At 45.9% G+C, this 21,770-nt stretch overlaps 1 protein-coding gene across 6 annotated transcripts, besides 1 other annotated feature; it reads left to right on the top strand.

Annotated features, from left to right (window-relative positions):
• Nucleotides 375-464: a silencer, noted in NCBI's record as "silent region_17175". NCBI's record gives its function as "represses an Ori minimal core promoter by ATAC-STARR-seq in GM12878 lymphoblastoid cells {active_cell/tissue: GM12878}" and the evidence as "EXISTENCE:reporter gene assay evidence [ECO:0000049][PMID:35858748]".
• On the top strand, nt 2,449-21,746 carry TREM1 (triggering receptor expressed on myeloid cells 1). 6 transcript variants are annotated; one of them, NR_136332.2, is made up of 5 exons: nt 2,449-2,524; nt 6,380-6,736; nt 7,978-8,170; nt 12,901-14,047; nt 21,043-21,746. NR_136332.2 is itself a non-coding variant. In XM_011514696.3 (4 exons), exons 1-4 carry the CDS (start codon nt 2,476-2,478, stop codon nt 21,194-21,196), a joined length of 753 nt encoding a protein of 250 aa, XP_011512998.1. In that variant the 5' UTR covers nt 2,449-2,475; the 3' UTR covers nt 21,197-21,746. The 6 variants fall into 6 exon arrangements, 5 of the variants coding, with proteins under 5 accessions (XP_011512998.1, NP_061113.1, NP_001229519.1 ...); XM_011514696.3 differs by lacking the exon at nt 12,901-14,047; NM_018643.5 differs by lacking the exon at nt 21,043-21,746 and having other exon boundaries at nt 12,901-15,526.

Genomic DNA, 21,770 nt, shown 5'->3' with positions numbered 1-21,770 from the left:
AAAAATAAAGTGGTAAGGATTAGAGAATGCTGCCATGTGCTGCACAAGGAAGTTTTGGTCCATGACAGACTGCATATATGGTGGAGGTCCCATAAGATTATAATGTCATAATACCGTATTGTTACTATGCCTCTTCTATGTTTAGATACACAAATACTTACTATTGTGTTACAAATGCCTACAGTATTGAGGACTGTAACATACTGTGCAGGCTTGCAGCCTAGGAATATGCTTTACTTTGATTTATGTTCAAGTATCATTCTCCCTTAGATTTTGTGAGGTTGAAAGGTATTTGTCTAAACTGGATGTGAATGGAGAGGGGGCCTCCGGAGAGCAAAGGGCCCTCTGTTCCCCTTCCTAATATTAATAGGCTATACCATACAGCCTAGGTGTACAGTAGGCTGTGCCATGTTAAGTTCGTGTAAGTGCACTCCATGATGTTCCTGCAACACAAAATCACCTAGCAACACATTTCTCAGAATGTATCTGTCATTAAGTGACACGTGACTATTTGCACTGTTGACCTCAAGTACACAAATAGATCAGACAAGTGGAGAAAGACCTCATTCTACTTCATTCTAATTTAAATGCAGGTGCTGTCCGTAGTTAGGAAAATGTGAAGGAGCAATCAGCCTCCAGTGATATTCAAGTCTAATTAAAAATTCTTCTTGGACTGTTTAGTTCAAAGCTCCCTCTTAATCTTCCAGGAGCTTAATCCTCCACACAAAGTATATGAAGACACAAAAATGTAGAAAGTATGTGAAATAGCTATTATTTAAGTGTGGAATATTAATTTTGTTGTAAGGAGGGGATTTATTCACTGAAATAAACTTTATTAATTTGACTCATCGCCACAGAAGTCACGTAGGCTCCTCTCTGAGTCAGAAAATGTCAAGAGCTTTCTGTCTATTTTTCCTCTTTAGGGACTGCTTGAGTACAGCAAAAGGAGGGGCCAGCAGATTTCAGTTCAAGCATGTTTGAAGCCTGTTTTCCGACATTATTTGTAGAACAAAAAATAAACATAGTAAAATCTCCACTACAAATGATCTCTATAAAGTGTAATAACATGATTTAAGTTTATGTATTATTTTCTATATTTTATAAATTGCTGCATTGAACAGCTTTAATAAAAAAAATTAAAGTTAGCCTTGAAAATTTTTTTGGTTGTTGTTTGTTTTAATTTACAGACATGATAGTACCTTTTAGCTGTTCCTATACTTGAGTAGCAATCAATTTGGGTGTAAAATATTAGGGTCATAATGTTCTTTATACCTCATCCCACTCTCTCATGGTATTTGTTACTCAGAGAAGAAATCTGAGTCCTGATTATTTCAATTCCTTTGAAGAAACCAAGTTATTTTTTTGTTTATTTAGCAGTAGGAATCTTTTTATTTAAATTTAAAAATTTTCACCTGGAAACTTCCTATTCTAGGTCTCACTTTGTGAATTTTTTCCTTGCCCATGTTGAACTCTCAACCTCCAATTTTAGATTTCTTCTCAGACCTGGAAAGCATATTTTTTAAGATAAAATTTTTAATCTTGCTTGTGATCCACCATTCCATTTTATGCTTTAAGGACATCTCTGATTTGTAGATTGGAATTCTGTGATTTGTCCTCCCTTAAATTTCTGAGCTCTTCTAAATGTCTTTATTCATTTCACATTTGGGAATATTTCTGAAGTGAATCCTCTCCATTATTGATTTGATTTTCACACTGTCAAATCTGTCTTTTCTTGCTTCTAGTACAAAACCTGCTGGATTTTTTCTTCTTGCTTCAGCGTCTTGAACCAAGTTTCCTTTTTAAATCTAAGTCTGTTCTTGTTGGGTGGTGGCAGTGTCCTCTCAAATTGTTTCTGGGGTCCCTACACCCCCGTGAGCTCCCAGGCCATGTCTGTGGCAATGCTGAAGGACAAATGCAGGGTGTGGCCCTCCTGGTGATGAAGAGGAGGTGCACCCCAGGTCACCAGAAGCCAAGAGAACCCACGGGGCTGAGCAGGGCAGGATGAAGCAACATGTTCTCACAAAAACCCTGAAGATGAGATACGATTGTCGCAGCCTCTCCCTATGTGGGCCTGACTCTCTTCACTACACTAAACTGGATGTGAATGGAGAGGGGGCCTCTGGAGAGCAAAGGGCCCTCTGTTCCCCTTCCTAATATGAATGCCTTACTTTGATTTACATTCAAGTATCATTCTCCCTTAGATTTTGTAAGGTTGAAAGGTAATTGTCATTATTACCACAGAAAGGAAAACTGGAGTTCAAAGAAACTTAACTGAGAAGTGAGTCTTGGTCTCTGTATTATTGTGTTGATGTCAGGAGTCAGAGCAACTGGTGATGAAACAGAACCCAAACTCAGTGACTCCCAGGAATGGCCTCATATCCTGTTGTGCAACTTTCCGAAGCCTCTAGGTCATTGTGGTGCCTTGTAGCTGTCCCGGGAGCCCTCAGCAGCAGTTGGAGCTGGTGCACAGGAAGGATGAGGAAGACCAGGCTCTGGGGGCTGCTGTGGATGCTCTTTGTCTCAGGTAAGACAAGGAAGAGGACTGAGCAGGGGAGGCGTTTGGTCCAGGATCTCGGGGAGCCCTTTTCTGTTGAAGCTTCAGAGCACAGGGCCATCCAAGATAGAGCCAACCAGTAGTTATGGCAGACCGTGCTGCTCTACCCAGAATTGGGAGAACATGCAGTGTCTGCACACAAAAGTAAAAGAAGGAGAGAGTCAGGGAAAAAAGATGTCTGTGCATGTCGATGTTGTTAGAGACATGCAAAGCCTAGTATGGGAATAATGATAGAGTAGATCTCATCATGGCATGATCTACAATAAGTTTATTTGATGTTGAAATTTTTTTCTTATATTCCATCATGATGTGTTTGATGTTGACAATCTGTTAAACCCAAAAGACAGAATTGATTTAACAAATATTTCCCAGGGGTCTACTATGGGACAGCAAATATACTACTGCTGAGGACACAGACGTGACCAGAAGAGGCTGGTGCTCATTTTGGTGGAGGTGATCATCCCAGCTCTCCATGGCACGCTGGGGTTGGAGGGCACAGTTGCTGAGGCTCAGCAGAGCCGGCGCATGCCCCAGCTCTTTCTTGTGTCTCCTCTTACGATCCGCACAGCTCACATCTGCACCCAAACCAGAAGCATGCGGGCTTTATTCACTCCTCCTCCTAATCCTTATGAATAACAGGAGGAAAGTGTCAATATGAGTTAAAAGCGAGGCTTGCCTTGGGAAGGCATGAAAAATCAGGGAGAGGTATCCTCCTGGGCTCTCTACTTTGAGCAAAGTCATGGACAACTGCCTTGAAGAGCCTGTGCTCAGACATTGCTCTGGGTCTTCTTGGAGCTGGGGTGATAATCTAGATGGGCAGAAGGGAGTTAGCTCCTCATGGACAAGTGCATTTCCTTGTGTTTGATTCATGTTTTTCTGAAGGAGAACTGGGAGATGGCAGAGGGCTGAAGGTTATGTACCTGTGTGAGAGAAAACCAGTGGTATATATTTCATTGTGCCCTGTGGGGATAGGTTAGGGGTTAACCTCAATGCTCCTTGCAACTGGATACTTATTCACACTTGGGCCAGGACTTCTCTAATCCCTATCAGACTGTGTTGGACCATGTAGCTCAGTGCTTTAGGTGGAACCAGAGTCCTTGGGTTTGAATCCTGGCTCTAGTACTTAACTATGGTGAGACTTTGGGCAAATCACTTAATCTGTCTGTGCCTCAGTTTCCTTATCTATAAAATGGGGAGAATAATGGTGTCAACTTTTTACTTTATAAAGATTAAATAAGATAGTCTTTAAAAACCCTTAGCACATAATACTTAATAGGTAGTATTTGCTACCCTTTTAATTAACATATTCAAAGGAATTCCCTTCTTGCAATTGTGCACAGACAGCTCAGCAGCCTTCATTTCTTATTGTCTCCTTCCTTCTGTGAGAGACAGGCAAGTTTGCAAACTCAGTCACCTGTAACTCCCACCTTCCCTGGGGAGCTGGCAAATAAAAGAGATTTATCTGTAACATTAACTTCAGAGGTTAGGGCTTCAGTGGTGGCAACTTGAGGATGGAGTCTGTGTGTCTTCCAAAGAGCCCAGCACAGTGCCTATGATAGAGAAGTCTCCCAGCCAGTCTGATGAGTGAGTGAACAAATGAGGGAACCAGGCTTGGTTTCAGACAACACTCAGCCTCTGGTCAACAGTCTCTTGGAGGCACATTCCTGACTGGAGTGTGTGGGAGTTGCCCAAGAGGTCTGTTTCCGAGGTTTCCCTAGAAACTGGAGTCTGCTCCCAGAAGAACTGGCTTTCAAGACTGATTTCACCTTTAAACTCCTTGTGAGTCCCTGAGTTGAGTCTTCCTAAGGTCAGGCAGATCTGTTGGCCTATCCTGGGGTGGGCATGCCAGGGGGCTCCATGAAAGGGTAAGCACTTGTCATTTTTCACCAGGCCTGCAAGGACCTAAGTGTGTGGTATTAATAACAGCAGTACTAGTGTTACCGTGACCCACACAGTAGACCCAGCAGCACTGTCTAGCCTGTTATTTGGTGCTCCATGGGGGAAGGTACCCCAGGCCTGAGTGGGTAAGCTACAGTCTCTCAGCAAACTTAGAGAGCCCTGTGTGTCCAGCTGAAAACACGGACCTTGGTCTTCTCACTTCCGCTCTGCTTGGCCTCCCATCAGCAAGGCTCCCTTGGACAAGGCCAGATGAGCATCCCCAATTCTAGATGGTTAACCCAGTTCGGACTCCAAGAATGTGATGGAAACTATTGTCACTGTAACCCAGGGGTTCTCAAACATGGCACTATTGACATTTGGGGTGGGATGATTCTTTGTTGTGGGGGCTGTCCTGTGCACTGTAGATTGCTTAGCCTGGTATCCATTAGATGTTAGTAGCATCCACCCCTCTCCCTGGTTATAACAACCAAAAATGTCTAGATATTGTCCAGTGTTTCAGGGAGAGTTGTGGCGGGGAGCAAAAATTGCTCCCCAGTGGAGAACCACTGCTGTGACTCCGTGACATCAAAAATAGGAGGGGGCATTTCTTGGCTCAGGTAACTGGGAAGTACAAGGGGTGCTCCTTTGGAGCACAGCTGAGTCCATGACTCAGATAACGTGGGTTTTTTTCTCTCTTTCTTTCTCTCCCCTCCACTATCCCCCTCTTCCTTCCTCCCACTCACTTTCTGCCTGTTTAGCCATTCTCGGGCAGCCTATTCCTACGTGGTAGAAAGTTTCACATAATAAAGTTTCACATCTCATTGACCTGTGAATCCCAGCAAGAAGCATTTCCATTAATGGCTACAGCAGTCTCAGGGAGGACTCTGATTGGTCCAGCTCAGCCATGTGCTCCTTCCTAAACCAATCAGCCTGGCAGGGAGATGGGGTACTTTGTGTATGTGTGTGTGTGTGTGTGTGTTTTTTTTTTTAACAGAGTCTTGCCCTGTGGCCCAGGCTGGAGTGCAGTGTTGTGATCTTGGCTCACTGTAACCTCCACCTCCCGGGTTCAAGTGATTCTCCCACCTCAGCCTCCCATGTATCTGGGACTACAGGTGTGCACCACCATGCCTGGCTAATTTTTTTGTATTTTTAGTAGAGGCAAGGTTTCACCATGTTGGCCAGGCTGGTCTCGAACTCCCGACCTCAGGTGATCTGACCTCCTCATCCTCCCAAAGTGTGGGATTACATGCGTGAGCCACTGTGCCTGGCCCCGAGATGGGGTACTTGGATTGGCAAATCCTGTGTCCTGTGCCCATCCTTGAGAATGTGGGCTGCCCCAACAGTAGAGCCACACAGGATCGTTCCCTTGGAAAGGGGTGCTCTGCTACCCAAGGAAGGGAAAAAGGAGTGCCAGGCAGTCAGATATCCATGCCCATCATGCCCTCCAGACGGCTTCCTCACTGTTTGTCCAAAGGTCTTTTGAGCTGATCTCCTTGCCCTGACTTAGATGAAGTTCCTCAAGGTGTCCTTGGAGCCACTCTCTGCTAGCACCGTGTCTTTGCGTTCACTTTTTATGTCATACGCCCTTGTAATCGATCCCTCCCACCATGCTGCAGCCACTCGTGGTCTTAGTACAATATCCCATGTTCTGTCTCCAGGCAGGCAGTTTCTTCCTCTCAAAGTCAGTCTTCCTCTTCTGATCATTTATGAAATTTGATCCTCATGCACCATATGCAGTCTCTTATAGTAAAAAACCTACTCACAGTGGAAAGATCTGAGGTCTAGTGCTGGCTTGCAGGGCAAGTTGTATTTTCTCTGGAGGCCTCAAGAACCTCATCTGAAATATGGGTGGTTGGACAAGAAAAACAGGGGGCTCCTCTCCTTTTTCCCCACTCAGAGAGAGAAAAATAATTCCTCACAGAACCCATTCTCTTTCCCTGCTTATAGAACTCCGAGCTGCAACTAAATTAACTGAGGAAAAGTATGAACTGAAAGAGGGGCAGACCCTGGATGTGAAATGTGACTACACGCTAGAGAAGTTTGCCAGCAGCCAGAAAGCTTGGCAGATAATAAGGGACGGAGAGATGCCCAAGACCCTGGCATGCACAGAGAGGCCTTCAAAGAATTCCCATCCAGTCCAAGTGGGGAGGATCATACTAGAAGACTACCATGATCATGGTTTACTGCGCGTCCGAATGGTCAACCTTCAAGTGGAAGATTCTGGACTGTATCAGTGTGTGATCTACCAGCCTCCCAAGGAGCCTCACATGCTGTTCGATCGCATCCGCTTGGTGGTGACCAAGGGTGAGTGGCCTGGGACTTGGGGGGAAAGAAGGGCCAGGTGAGGAAAGGGGCAGTGGTGGTAGCATCAGCAGAGCTGGGGTTCAGGATTCCCAGCAGTCTGTCTTCCTCCCAGGACCTCTTTATCTCTCATCTAAGGTCCAGTAGTAAGTAGAACCTTCCATGCATGAGATTCTCCTTGGATAGCACAGCCTAATTTTGGGTGCTGTGGTAGGAATTGGGGTACAATTAAGGTGAGTGGTAGATTTGGGATAATTTAGTCCCATTCTTTGTTCTCCACTTAGAAGTCATGTCCTGACTCCCCCTCCCAAGGATGCGTTTGGTGGCATGCCTGTGTGCTTCTGAAGCAGCCCCTCTCACATCTTTCTGTGGGCACAGACCACCTGGGGATCTTATTTCAAATGCACACTCCAACTGAATGGGTACAGGGGTCTGCATCTCTATTGATCTCCCAGGTGATGCCAATGCTGATGGTCCATGGCTCCCATTTTGGGGGAGCAAGTCTCCAGAGCTCATTTTGTGTCCCCTTGTACACAACTCTACTCACTGGATAGGAGAGGGGGGTTTACTTATCTGTACCCTATTCATTTCAGAACTGCTTGAGGGAAGCACCTGTGCCTTCCTGGGCTCTGCACCCCTAGCAAATAATGTAGTTTCTGACACAAAGTAGGCCCTCAGGAGATGTTGCATTAAGGAATGAATTATGGAAGACAGAGGAAAGGGAAGCAGGCTCAAGTTCCCAGCACCTGGGGAATTCTAAGCCTGAGGAAGACAAGGTGCACACACAATATATTAATAAAAGATAACTTTTAAAGCAATATGCCATAAGCCAGGTGAACGAAAGGCAGAGTGAATCAAGTAAGCCTGGAATTATTCTTGGAGAAGGTTGGGGCACAAGAATTGGTGAAGAACAGAAGGCAAGTTCATTTCCAACAGTACGAATGACAAAAAATTCCTTTCTTCTTCTCTCTTTCTGCTCTCCCTCACTTCCTGCCCTTTTTTTCTTCTTTCCTTTTTTCGATTTCTGACTCAGGTTGACTCCACAGTATTTCTTTGGCTTTAGCAAAGGAAAACTTTGCATTTGGGCCATGCTCATTTCCCTCCTCAGCTTCATTTACCGTACCACCTACCCGTCCATCAACTCATCCACATTTTCATCCATACATCCATACATCCATTCACCCACCCATCCACCCATTCATCATCCATCTGTCCATCCATCCATCCAATGTGTCTTCTTGCAGGTTTTTCAGGGACCCCTGGCTCCAATGAGAATTCTACCCAGAATGTGTATAAGATTCCTCCTACCACCACTAAGGCCTTGTGCCCACTCTATACCAGCCCCAGAACTGTGACCCAAGCTCCACCCAAGTCAACTGCCGATGTCTCCACTCCTGACTCTGAAATCAACCTTACAAATGTGACAGATATCATCAGGTATAGTTTCCAGGTCCCTGGGCCCCTGGTTTGGACACTGAGCCCTTTGTTTCCCAGTCTGTGTGCTGAGAGGATGTGAAAGTGAGGGAAAGGGGAGGGTGGGGCAGGAGAAGACTTGAGTCACATTAGTCTGGGTAGAAATGTCCAGGGGAAGAAGGAAGTGGTGATGGAGAATAGGGGAGGCTCTCAGCCAGGCTGTCCTTCTCCCCAGTTCACCTTCTTTGTTTCCTTGCAACCTGAGTATTAAAGAGAGGGAAATGGCATCTTCCCCAAGTTCCAGTGGAGCTCATCCAACCCCAGGGGCCTGATGGGCAGTGGGAAAGCACTCTGAGTGAGGGGCCCTGGATCTAGTGTTGGCCTGACTAACTGAATGTGACTTTGGGTGAGTCAGGAACCCTCTCTGGCTTTAGCTTCTTTGACAATTCAGTAGGCATGGTAGAAACCCAAAGCTGGAAGACATTGTCCACCTAATAACTCTCAGCAGGAGCTGGAGCTGGGGCTAAATGCAGTATTGGTTTTTGCCTTATTGTTTTTTAAATAACATTGTTGCATGTGCCCAATTATAGATAAATAGAATCAGAATTTTTGCAGATGAGGTCCCTCTCAGTATTTTTAATAAGATGTTTAGGAGATTTCTAATGTGTAGGCAAACTTAAGAACCACTAACTTAGCAATTTCACACCTCTTTACAGTTATTAAATGTTGATTTATATTAGAATGTGTTTATCATTAAATACTGAATTATCAGGATGGAAATACTTTTCCACATCACCACTAGTCTAACATGTCTTTTTTCTCATATTCTCTTCTAGTCTTTATTCATGTTTATACATATTTTAATATGGCAGTAAGTCTAATTATACATGTTTTTATTCTTTTCCTTGCTGAAATTATTCTTTGATGCTGCTACCTAAATTTCATAAATATAATTTCAATGAGTGCATATTTTTCTATCAATTGGGAAAGCCATAACTTACATAACCATTGGCCTGTTCTTAGACATTGATATAGTGTTGATAACTCTGAGATAAACATATTCTTGCAGATATATTTTTCTTCTTTTAAATAATTAACTCGAAATTTCCATGAGATAATTTAAACACTGATATCATTTTGTATACAAATAGCATCTACCAATGGTCTTCCAAAAGATTGGAAACAATTTGCAGTGTGATCCATTAAGCATAAATAAAGCAGTGTCATGGCAGGCTTACAGACACGGATTTAGTCTTTTAAATCATTAAATAGTGTGAGTTAAATCACATTCCTGCTAAAACAAATGTGAACTGGTGCCTGCTCTAATTTCTCTATGAGTGTAGACTCCACCTCCATATGGGTAGTGGCAGTGCCTTTTTCCCCATTATGTTGTTTGGGGAACAAAGTGCTCATTAAACTTCTGTGGAATAAATCAAACGAATGATCTACTAAGAGTCAATTTTTTTTTTTCCTCTACTTTCATTTTGCAATACATAAGTTAAGAGAACATAATCTTTGCCCATATTCTTACTTTTACCGGAAGGAGGGCCTTAAGTGTAAGCTGTCCAGGTTCTGGGCCTTTTAATCAAAGTATTGGAGAAGACGCACAAAGTAACAAAGGAATGAAGCAGTGAAAGCAGGAATTTATTTAAGCGAGAAAGCGCTCCCCAGGGTAGAAGTGGCCCCACGCAAGTGGCTCAAGGGCCAAGTTACAAAGTTTTCTGGGTTTTAAGTACTCCACGTGAAGTTCCTCCCAGTTACCCCTTATCTGGATGAAGCATTTGGTTTGTGGCTAACTAAAGGCTAAGGTGAATTGGCGCCCTCTGTGGGTAAAGGGATGGTCGTCTCTGCTTGGCTCAGGGCCAATCTAAGACACTCTCCCTTTCCAGCTGAGACGTGGTGGAAGGGGGAGGGCTGTAGGGAGAGTAGCCTTTGATTCTTTGCTGCTGGGGCATGGGGAGATGGGGTTTTTCCTTTTGTTTTAGCTTTAGAAAGTTTATGTTAATTGGCCTTAGGTTCCCTGACCCCAGCCCCAGGAGTTTTCCTTTTGATCCAGCTATGGGAAGTCAGCACGAATCCATCCTAGATTTCTTGCCCCTAGACCTTGGTGTTGCTCCATGATTCAGCATGAATTGGTCTTACGTTCCTGCCTCCAGACCCTATTCTCCTGCCTTGCTGCTAGAGACTGCATCTCTCTTTTATCTGTTAACTTTATCTATCATCTAATATGAACTATCCTTTCAGCCAAAATCCAGTCTGGAAAGTGGAATCCACACTAGCTGTTTGAAAAGAAGAAGCTTTTTTTCTTTTTCTTTTCTTTTTTTTTTTGAGACACGGTCTCACTCTGTCAATCAGGCTGGAGTGGAGTGGCACGATCATGGCTCACTGTAGCCTCAACCTCCTCCCACCTTTGCCTCCCAAGTAGCTGGGACCACAGGTGCATACCACCAGGACAGCTAATACTTTTTATTATTTTTGTAGAGATGGGGGTCTCCCTGTGTTGCCCAGGCTGATCTCGAATTCTTGGGATCAAGTGATCCTCCCACCTCGGCCTCCCAAAGTGCTGGGATTACAAGTGTGAGCCACCACATCCAGCCATGAAACGAAGGAATTTAATGCAGGGAATTGTTTGCCCAGGTGATGGAAGAGCTGAGACGCTATCCTGGGGATGGAGAGGCACTGCAGAGGTAGCCACTATCACCCTATCTCTAGGTAGTTTCCCCAGAAGCAAGCTGTAAAGTCTTGTTAAAATGTTTTAGGACTAGGTGTTGTGGCTCACACATATAATCCCAGCACTTTGGCAGGCTGAGGTGGGAGAATCACTTGAGCCCAGGAATTTGAGATTAGCTTGGGCAACATAGCAAGACTCCGTCTTTACAAAAAAATAATAAAAAAATTAGCAGGGCATGGTGGCATGCACCCATGGTCCCAGCTACTCGGGAGGCTGAGGCAGGAGGATCACTTGAGCCTGGGAGATCAAGGCTTCAGTGAGCTGTGATCAAGCCACTGTACTCCAGCCTGGGCAACAGAGCAAGATCCTGCTCTCTTTCTCTCTAAAAAAAAAAAAAAAAAAAAAAGACAAAAAGAAAAATGTTTTAGGAAGTGATTTCTGGCAAAGCCATTGAGGAAGTGGGACCAGGAAGGGAAGGAAGCCAAGCAAGCGTGTCATAACCAAGGGGTATCTCACAGGATAACTCTGGCTCAGTCTTGTTAAGGAGCTCTGGGGACTCCTGGGTCACATTTGGAGTTGTCCCTATAAGGGGCAGTAACTGAGCAAGGGCAGCTCTAACCAAGGCCAAGCACATGAATTCCTGGCCCTTCAGGGGGTTGGTAGCTTGTGTGCAGCCTCGAAAAAAATGCAGATGGTGGCCTGTTGGGAGTGGACATGCCCCAGGAGTTCAGCATAGGAAAATGGTAAAGCACTCAGAGTGGATAATGCAGAGCACTGGCAGGAGAGACTTGGGGAGGAGGTGCAGTGAGCAGAGCCCGGAAGCCAGGACATTCAGGTTGCAGCACTGGAATCGGGGCAGATGCTGAGGATGCTGAGTGCGCCACCATGTGAGGGGTGAGAGAGATGCTGGCTCCCTGCCCCTTGCTGCCTGTCTCTCTGCCCCATCCCTGCCCCCGTCTCTGCCCCCTGTCCCCCACCAGTTGCTGAACTCGACCAGTCAGGCTTGGGAATGTAGTCCCCTGTGCTACAAGTCAGGGCCCTTGAATGGGGGTGGATTTCAGGCAAATAGGCAGTTTTCTGCTTTCTAGCTCCTTTACGCCGTTTCCCTCTTTGCTAGTTTGTGCATGTGGTTTTAAGTTTTGTATAGGTGGGTGTGTTGATTTTAAATCAATTGCTTTGCTTTATTCCTTAATGTGTTTGATTCTATTTCCTGGTGACTTTTCTTGGATTGTTTTTTTTTTATTTTATTTAAATGTTTAGTCCGGGGGAAGATTTATTCTGCTACATGCTATAAACTGTAGAAAAGCCTACACCGTTACCATGTTGCTGTCCAGATACTGCAAGACTATTTACTAAATGATCCTCCTGCCTCTCCAAGTAGCTGGGACCATGGGTGCATGCTACCACGTCCGGCTTATCCACTGGACCTCTGATTTCCTTAGACATTATGTTCCTGCATAGCACTGGCTCTGCATCTGGCCTTTGTGTTCCATTGCCATCTGTCTGTCCCTGTGTCTTACCATGCCACATCCTTGTGCTCTCATCTGCTTGCATGTCTGCTGATGGAACTGGCCAAGTGCCCTCACTCCTTTGCATCTTTTTATTATGATACCTATTGATGTTTACCCAGAAACCTTAGAATCATTTCGCCAAAATCTATAAAATTCATGATGAGATTTTCACTACGGGTGGATTCTTCTCGGTTTATAGGTGAGGAAACCGAGCTAAAGAGGTGAGATGACCATCCCAGTAGGCAGGGTACGGTACTGAGAATAGAGAGCGGGTTTCCTGGCCAGAGTCCTCTCTCCCTACCACATCACAGGGAGGAGGATGGGCTGATCAGCCCGACTGTCTCCCTCCAGTGCCTCTCCTGGACAGGGACCTATACTCTCCACTGAATTGTTTCTAATCAGTAGTTTTTGGCAATGAGACAGACTGAAAAGCACAGGGTCAGGCAGTGCGGGAAAGGTGGAGCAAGGATCTAAGCAGAGGAGAGTGGGACATGAAGGCATTTTCTAGAGGGAACATGTGCGTGTGGGAGAGACTTTGCCAGCAGTAGCGTTCAGCCTCTTGTCTCCCGCAGGGTTCCGGTGTTCAACATTGTCATTCTCCTGGCTGGTGGATTCCTGAGTAAGAGCCTGGTCTTCTCTGTCCTGTTTGCTGTCACGCTGAGGTCATTTGTACCCTAGGCCCACGAACCCACGAGAATGTCCTCTGACTTCCAGCCACATCCATCTGGCAGTTGTGCCAAGGGAGGAGGGAGGAGGTAAAAGGCAGGGAGTTAATAACATGAATTAAATCTGTAATCACCGGCTATTTCTAAAGTCAGCGTCTCACCTTCCTGCCCACTGCCCTCGTTCCTCTAATAATCTTGGGTGGGCATTTGTGCCTCAGAAAAGAAGTTACAGCCCCAAACATGCTTGGTCCTTCATTCCACCAGCCACTTGGGGTTGGCATGAAATACAGACAGCTCAATGCTTTTCACCGTAATTCTCTTGTGGGGGCTGTGACATGCAGAAGGCACACCTGATACTTCTCCTGCTCAGTTTTGCCCTGGACCATACAATTTTGGCCTGACCTGGACAGAGCTCCCACTACAGAAGCATCCTGCTCGCCCCATGCTGGGACTTCCTCTTTCTAGCATCAGACACTTGGGTTTCATGCTTATGTGTGGTTCTTTCCAACACTCCCAGAAAAGGGTGTTGAAGATTGTGGAACCTGGAGAAATAAGACATCGTGGTGAGAAAGTGCATCCTTCTCAGAGAAAAGAGTTAAACTGAGTATCTTCTTCTGGGGAAATACTGGCAGGCCGAGATGGGATCCATAGGAGAGCAACAACAGACCATGTCAGACATCCTGTGTGCATTTATCGCTGGATCCTGAAAATAGCCCCGTGAAGGCAGAAATGTATGTGACTAGAACGAGGCCACATGAATAAGCCACTGCCCACTGGCAGGAGTGAAAACTGAAGCGCTCCTTACCTGAAGGACCCCAAAACCATATAGAATAGAATAACCAGGAGTTCCGCCTGTGTCTAAATGCCTCTTTTCCTGTATCACACAAGGGTCAGGGATGGTGGAGTAAAAGCTCTCCCCCTGGGAGGCTTCTGGAGGCTGTCCCCATGTGCTTGCCTAGTTCCCCACTCTGCCCTCCTCCTCTTCTCTCAGTCTGCTCCTGGAACACCTGCCTCAGTTTCCATGCTCTCTCCAGTGCCCTCCCCGGTGAAGCAGGTAGGTGTTCAGGCCACCACAGAGACAATCTCTGTGGGAGATTGTCTTGCAATCTCCCACAGATTTCAATCAGGATTTTGTTATTTCCTACTTTGAGCTTTAAAGGGAAATGGGCCTCATGGGTGGGGAAAGGATGGTGGGTCCTTCCAGCCCAATTTAGTGATGCCCAGGGCAGATATTATCCTCAGTTCCCAAGAGCAATCATACTTTTCCACACATACCGTGTGTCTCATGTTAGGTAAATGTATTTTTACAATGAGCACCACTTCTGTGGAAAAAGTTCCCTGCACGGGGAGGTCCAGCTTCCAGACTGCTCCATCGCATAAGGACTTCCCCATTCCCCTAAATGCTGCTCTGTCAGAACCTGCCCAGGTAATGGTAATGACCCTAGAGAGATGATTTCTGAACCGCAATTTTGAGCCCATTAGAAGGTGTGTGGTGGGCATTTATTTCATCCTGATGCTCTGGTGAGAATCTTTGCAGACGCACTAGATCCAGAAGCTGTTAATCTTGGTGCATTTATTTTCCTACCTAAAAGAACCAAGCAGCTCAGAGGCAGTGACTGTACAGGATGCAGTGTTTATAATAATGCTGAGCTTGCTGGTCTGGAACCCCACACTTTAGCAATCCCAGCATTGTTCCTGTTTATGAAGTTGACAAAGTGACCAGGGCAAGGGGGTATTATCATTAAATACACTCTAGGAGAGGCAGAACACATGAGGGCAATGTTTTTCAGAGGTCTTTAGGCCACCGCATCAGATTCTCCTGGAGCATAAAGCAAATGCTTTATGAGTCCAGGGCCCCTGCAGACCTACTGTATACTAGTATACAGCTCCCTCTTAGTGGATCTCAAGCTTGTTTCCAAAAAGTCATTACACTCCTTACCAAAGCCCATGACACATTCATACAGATTCATCCAGACATAACCCACTGCATGGTCCAGTGCATGCTTGTGTGCTTAACTTATTATAGATCAAGTGTTATTTAAGTCCAACATATTAAACGTGACTGAAATATTATATGCACTAAATCGGAAGACAAATGGCCGTGCTGGATACTCTCCCATTTGCACTTACAGGCCACGCCATGCTCCATCCTCCCCATCCTGCCTGGGAACCTGACCAATGTGGCTAAACCAGCAGGCTCCCTGGCTGCCAGCTTCTGGCTGGTTGAGCCAATGGGAAGCATGAGAGGAGAGCCGAGGGTGGGGAGACAGTCAGATCAGGGTTTCTGTCCTCAGGGCTCCCTCCCTGGCAGGTGGTGGCAGGAGTGGCTGCATTCCCCTCTGAAGGCTCCTTCAAGCCTCTCAGCAAACAGCTCCCATCTCCAAGTCCAGCCACCTGTTCCATCCTCTCCTCTGTAGGCCCAGCAGTGGGAATGACCCACCACTATTGCCAGCCTCAGCATACTGAAGCACCCCTTACTGGATTCCCTAAATTCTATGCACATGTTTATTAAATGCTCCTCAATTACCCAGTTTCAATGAGCCAGCGGTGTCTTGCTGTTATCTTGACTGATACAATAGTGTTGTGTGGCTAACGACACAGGTCTTGGAGGAAAACCATGTATGGGTTTGAATCTAGCTCTGCATCCTTGCAGGGTGTCTGATCCTGGGTGACTCAGTTAACCTTCTGGGCTTCAATATTCCTCCTTGCCTTAATGGGCATGATAGTGCCTAACCATGCCAGTGATGATTTTGGATGCTAACAACAGAATCCAACTCTGGCTATCTAAAACAGCAAGGGAATTCTAGGGGGATATCAGTAACTCAGAGTTGATGAGAGGCTGGGGGATTGGGTTTAGAAAATGGGCAGAAGCCAAGAGAGAATGGACAGCAGAGGCCACATGAGACAGTCTGGACATGTTGCCATCAATGCCACTGCCCTGGATACTGGAGGCCACCATGCTATTCCTAGACTCTGAATCCTTAAATTGCCTCTGAGTAAGTAATCTGCAACTGGCCCTGCATTTGAGCCTCATCCGCAGATCTGGGGTCCTGGGCAGAATCATGCATGTGGCCAGGCTTAGGTCAAGTCACGTGCCTGCAGCACAGCTGCCGGGAGAAGGGTGGGAGGAATAGCTGCTTCCATCCTCAATAGAAGGGGAAGCAGAACTCTGCATCTGGTGAAACTCACACATTGGGGCCTGTGCCCCCAAAAGAAAAAGGTGTTTGGTACTGGAGAGTCAAAAGATGACACACCTCCATTATACCATCTCCCAATGTTGACAGGATCCAAGGAGACGCCTGAGTAAAGCACCTGACACACAGTAGGACTTCAATCCATGGTGGTTACTGCTATTACTGTTATAACTGGGGTCTCCATGCCTGTGCCTGGACAGGTTAGCTCAGGGAAGCCCATACCTGGTACTCAGGCAAAGCCCCTGAGTCACCGAGACATGCTGCAGGGTCCATCTTACCTATATGCAGCTCTTGCAGACATGGTCAACTTGGACTCCTTGCCTCAGAACCACCTAAGCTGTTGCTAAAATACAGATTCCTGGGTCCCTTCCCAGATCTGCCAAGTCAGAATATCTGGTGGTGGAGCCTGGGTGTGTATGTCTGCCACACTTCCTGAGTGAAGCCACGTGCCTGTCCTTGGGAACCATGGTGCGGGGTGATATTAAAGAGGGAGGATGTAGCAGAAAGGCTTGAACCCGGCCTTGGGGGATGAACAATGTTTGTTTGCGCAGCACCATTTCACAGGGAGACTGGGGTGCAGGCTTGCGGGTTGTAGGGGTCAGTGGTCAGTGATGAGGAGGTTGGTGGCCTGAAGGGGTGAGTGACGCAGTGGGGACATCAGGTGGGTGGGTCTAGACTCACCATGGTGCAGAAAGGGAAGCAACTGAGTGTTCCCATCAGGACTGTGACATCATGATGGCAGGAAAGAAGCTGTCACAAGGGTGGCCAGCCTGCCTCTCTTTTTCTGCATCTTCCTGAGCTGTTCCCCGAGTCACACTTCCCCCAAGGTTTGTCAATTGTAAAGTAGCCACCCAGCCTCGTGGGGAGATGGTGACCGCGTATGTGGGGCAACATCCTGCAGCAACTACAAGAGGCCCTGGGCCAGCCGGCAGACAGCACATCTGGGTGGCAGATAGAGTGGAGGGGGCAGGGCTCTGAGGGTGGCCCTGGCTGCTGCTGCTGCTGCTCCTGCTGCTGCAGGTAAGGAGAGTGGGTAAGCAGGCTGGGGAAGAGGGGACCAGGGAGAGGGATGTAGACAGCCCAGCAGAAGTGCCCACTAATGGGAGTTTCCTCTTATATCTTTGGGATGGACTGGAATGGGATCAGGTAATGTGGTACAAATGGGAAAGGGAAAGGAGGCAATGCATGCAGACGGTGCTTGTCCAGCCTGACCCAGGAGGGACTGGGCGATGAAACAGAAGCTGGAGGTCCCTCTACTGCATCTTGAAGTTGAGAGAATTAGGTGGATTCAGCAGAGCAATCCCCCAGCACTGTGCTGATATCCTGGGAGATGTAAAGAAAAGCGAGACAGAGTCTCCCCTTAAAAAAGCATTCACTCACTGTGCAGAGGAGGCGTTAGTAGAGCAAAAGGTAAATAACAGCAAAAAGACAGGCAGTAACATGAAAACAAAACTTCTGTGGAAGTCACTCTAGCAGGGCACAGAAGGGAATGTGGAGAAGAAGACAAGAGTTCTGGAATCAGACAGGGCTGGGGCAAATCCTGTCTCAGCCACACTCTATGTATGTGACCTTGAGTAAGGTTTCTAACCTCTATTAGGCTCAGTTTCCTCACTGTAAATGGAACCGACTCACAGGTATCAGAGGGTTGTCTTAAGAATTAAACAGTGGATGTATGGAAAGCCCTTGGCTCAGTATTTAGGGCCTAATAAGTGCTTAATAAATGTTATGATGGGAGATGATGATGATGGAACCAGGTGTAGGGTGATCCGTGATATTTAGGGTGAAGAGGAGGTAGAGACTAGTGCCAGCTACAACTGTTCAGGTTGACTGCCCTCTGGGACCAAATGGGAATATCCATCCCATTTGGGAGAAAACAGAGAAGAATGGGAAGAGCATCTGTCTTGGGGACACCAGGAGCTAATACAAAGAGCTGTGTGAGGCCAAGTGCTATGGCTCGCACCTGTAATCCCAACACTTTGGGAGGCTGAGGTGAGAGGATGGCTTGAGCCCAGGAGTTCGAGACCAGTCTGGGCAACATAGTGAGATCCCTGTTTCTAGAAAGAACAAAAAGTTAGCTGGACATGGTGGCACACGCCTGTAGTCCCAGCTATGTGGTGGGGGCTGAGATGGGAGGATCACTTGAACCCAGAAGGTCAAGACTGCAGTGATTGCACCACTGCACTCCAGCCTGTGTGACAGAGCAAGACTCTGTCTCAAAAAACAAAGACAAAAACAAAAGAACTGTGTACCAGAAAGCAAAAGCCATGCCTGGGCCACCATATGTGGAATAGAAAATGGGTGGTAAATCTGGTGAAGTTCTTTTGTACCTTTTTATGATGAACATTTTCCAGTCTACGAAATGTAGAAAGAGTAGTCACAGTCAACTCATCACGTAGATTCAAACTTCAACCATGATGGATATTTGCCTTATTTGCTCCATATGGGTAGGAATCTTGCTAAGATATATATATATATATATATATATATATATATATATTATATAATATCATATATATGTGCAAACAGACACATATATGATTGCAGAACTATTTAAAAATAATCACAGAAATACTTAATCACTCCTACATGCTTGACAGAGGAGCTAGGAATACTCTTTGTCTGTGGCGCTGTGTCTGTGTTGTGGTCTGAGGTTGGGGATGCAGAGGTGAGAGAAGAAATCATGTTTGCTCAGTGAAGTGCTTGACTTGTCATTCCCAGATTCCAAGCTGTAGGTGACATGGAGGAGCAAATGTGCCTGCTAGAAGGACAGAATCTGACCATGGCCTGTTCTTACAACATCATGAAATATGCCTCCAGCCTGAAGGCCTGGCAGTGGGGTTGGAGCCAGGGTCCCCCAGAGACTCTGGTGCTCATGGAGACTAGAAACAAAGACCTAAACTGGGCCTGGGCTGGGAGGTACCTGCTGGAGGATTATCCCACGGAAGCTATAATCAGGGTCGTGGTGATAGGGCTCTGGAGGCAGGACTTGAGGCGTATTAGTGCATGACCCACCTGTCTCCTCAGGTCCCCTTTGTCCTGCACCATCGGATTTGGCTGGTATTGGTGCAAAGGTGAGCAGCTGCAGGATTCAGGTCATGGAAGGGTCTCCTTAGGCACAGCCAATGAGCTGGACCCCATCTGCCCATTCATGAGGGGCTGTTTGGAGGGCAGCACAGAGCAATGGGAAAAGTTGCAGGCCTGAAACCAGGGGACCTGGGTCTTCCATTCTCTTGCTTTGTGACTTTTTTGAGAAAGTCAATAGCTTCTCTCTGGGCCTCTGTTTTCTCACCTGTAAGACAAGGATGTTGGACTAGGTAATATAAAAAATTATCTTACCCTGTGGCAGAGGGCCGCTAGAGAAACTGGTTAATTGAACATGTGCTATGAGCCAAGCATGTACCTTGTTAATCTCTTTACTCTGAAATAAGTGCTGCTGTCTTCACTGCAGAAGAGAAGACTCAAAGAGATTAAGTTATTCACTATGTCATTCTGCAGATAAGTGGTGCAGCTGGGACTTACAGGAACCCATCTGATTTCATCATACCTGGTGAATCAATGAAATGGGCCCCGTTTGGTCAATGAAAAGCTGTTCCTCTTCTCAGGAATTTCAATAGCAGTAGATGAGGCACAGTTATTAGGGAGGAAAATGAAGGACATTTTGGTGACCTTCGGTTGCTTCTCATTGGTGGAAACACTGCCAATTCCCCCTCCTCCTTTGTTAGCAAGCCTTCCTGCCTACATGGGGAGGTGGAACTGGGATGGTGGAGCTCAGTGCTTTTGCCTCAAGTTTTTCTATAAAACTCTTTTCAAGCTAGTGAATTTGAGAGGCCTCCATTAATTAGCAGAGGACATTGCTCTTCTGCTATTTGAATATATGCTAATCTGAATATGTGAATATCAGGACAGGCTGGGGCTGAAGTCAGACTTCATAGCATCTGCAAATAAACAGTTGACCAAGCAAAGGGACAGAGCCATGGGCAGGATGGTTGGAATCTACTGAACCCATGTAATAGAATAAAATAACTTCCCGGTTCTTGAGAAACATCCAAGGATACCCGGTCACTGACAGGCTGATTACAAATCAATGATGCAATTGGTCAAGCAGGTCCATCACCCACTGCTCCTGACTCAGGAGCATTTTATTAATTTGGTCTTATTGCCTCTTTGTTACATAAATACTAAAACTTCAGTCCTTTGCAAAGGTAAGGGCAGCCATCACAGGGCAATAGAAGATTGTGGATTCTTGGTCCCTCTCTGCCTTGATCATACTTAGTGACCTTGGGGAAGTGCCTCACCCTTTTCTAGGCCTCAGTAAACCCCTGGCAGTGGGGCTTCCCCTCTGTGACATTCAGTGGCTCCAACCTTTTGGGTTTGTTGATCTTTATTGAGTTCAGGGAAATAAAGGCCTATATTTCACATGTAGCAAAGTTGGCCCAATTCAGGCACCAGTGGATGGCTTGGTCCTTCTGGTATGAATCCATCATTGGAGTTCTGCCCAGTTCTTTAATTTAAGTCTTAAAAAAGACAAGAGAAATGGTTGAGAAAGACTGAGCGCATACTGTTAAATGAGAACTGTATCAAGTTTAATAAGGATACGCTTAAACATAATTATCTTCATTGAACCATAAATAACAGGCAGTGCCATTTTGATAGCAGCTTCGTATTCCTTCTCTCCAGGAACTGGAGAAAACTTGAGGCTAATCTAGCCAGAGAAGCAGCATCCCGTACAGATTGTTCTTGTCTAAGGGAATTTCTGATGTTGCAGAGGGACCATAAAGGATGCCAAGTGAAACGTCCTTGCCTATCTCCTGTATGGGCTCCCTGACCCAATCATTTCCCCCGCTTGAATTTGCAGGGAAAAGAGCATGACATTTGGCATCAGAAGGCTGGATGTGGAATCCCATCCTCTCCCACCACTGCACACTGGGCACTTTCGGATAAGTCAGTTCTTCTCCCAGGCTGGAACTCAATCCTTGCATTCATGTTATAAAGGAAAACCTACGCCCTGAAAGATGGCAAGGTCAACTGTAAGCAAACAAAAATGCAAACATGCTGTGTTTTTGTTTTAGCTTTAGCTTTTGTCTTATTTTTTTCACAAAAGATCTTCATGTAACCAAACTGAGTTGACAGACTCCTTATTTCATGGCCCACTTTAAAGGAAACACTTTACCACTCATTTGGTTTCATGTGTTTTCTTAATGTGTATTTTTATGTATAGAGATGGAGTCTTGCTATGTTACCCAGGCTGGTCTTGAACTCCTGGGCTCAAGTGATCCTCCCTCCTTGGCCTCCCAAAGTGCTAAGATTATAGCCATGAACTACCACTCCTAGCTTAATGTGTGTGTTTTTTTTAATCTTTACTACCTTCATCCTGAGCTGCACTGCCTACCCTTCCCTCATAGGCATCTTCTTAATAATCATATTTCATATTTTCCATGTCTATTTGCATGCATGTAGATTCTTGAAAATATATAGAATTGATTTTGTGTGCTTTTGTTTTTTACACATTTCACTCTGTTGTAGAAAAAAATCTGCAATTAAACTGAAACTTCTGCATTATCTATTGCACTCTCTTCTTTATGT

Source organism: Homo sapiens, chromosome 6, assembly GCF_000001405.40.
Source record: "Homo sapiens chromosome 6, GRCh38.p14 Primary Assembly".
Taxonomy (NCBI): domain Eukaryota; kingdom Metazoa; phylum Chordata; class Mammalia; order Primates; family Hominidae; genus Homo; species Homo sapiens.
This window is presented reverse-complemented; position numbering and strand designations above follow the sequence as displayed.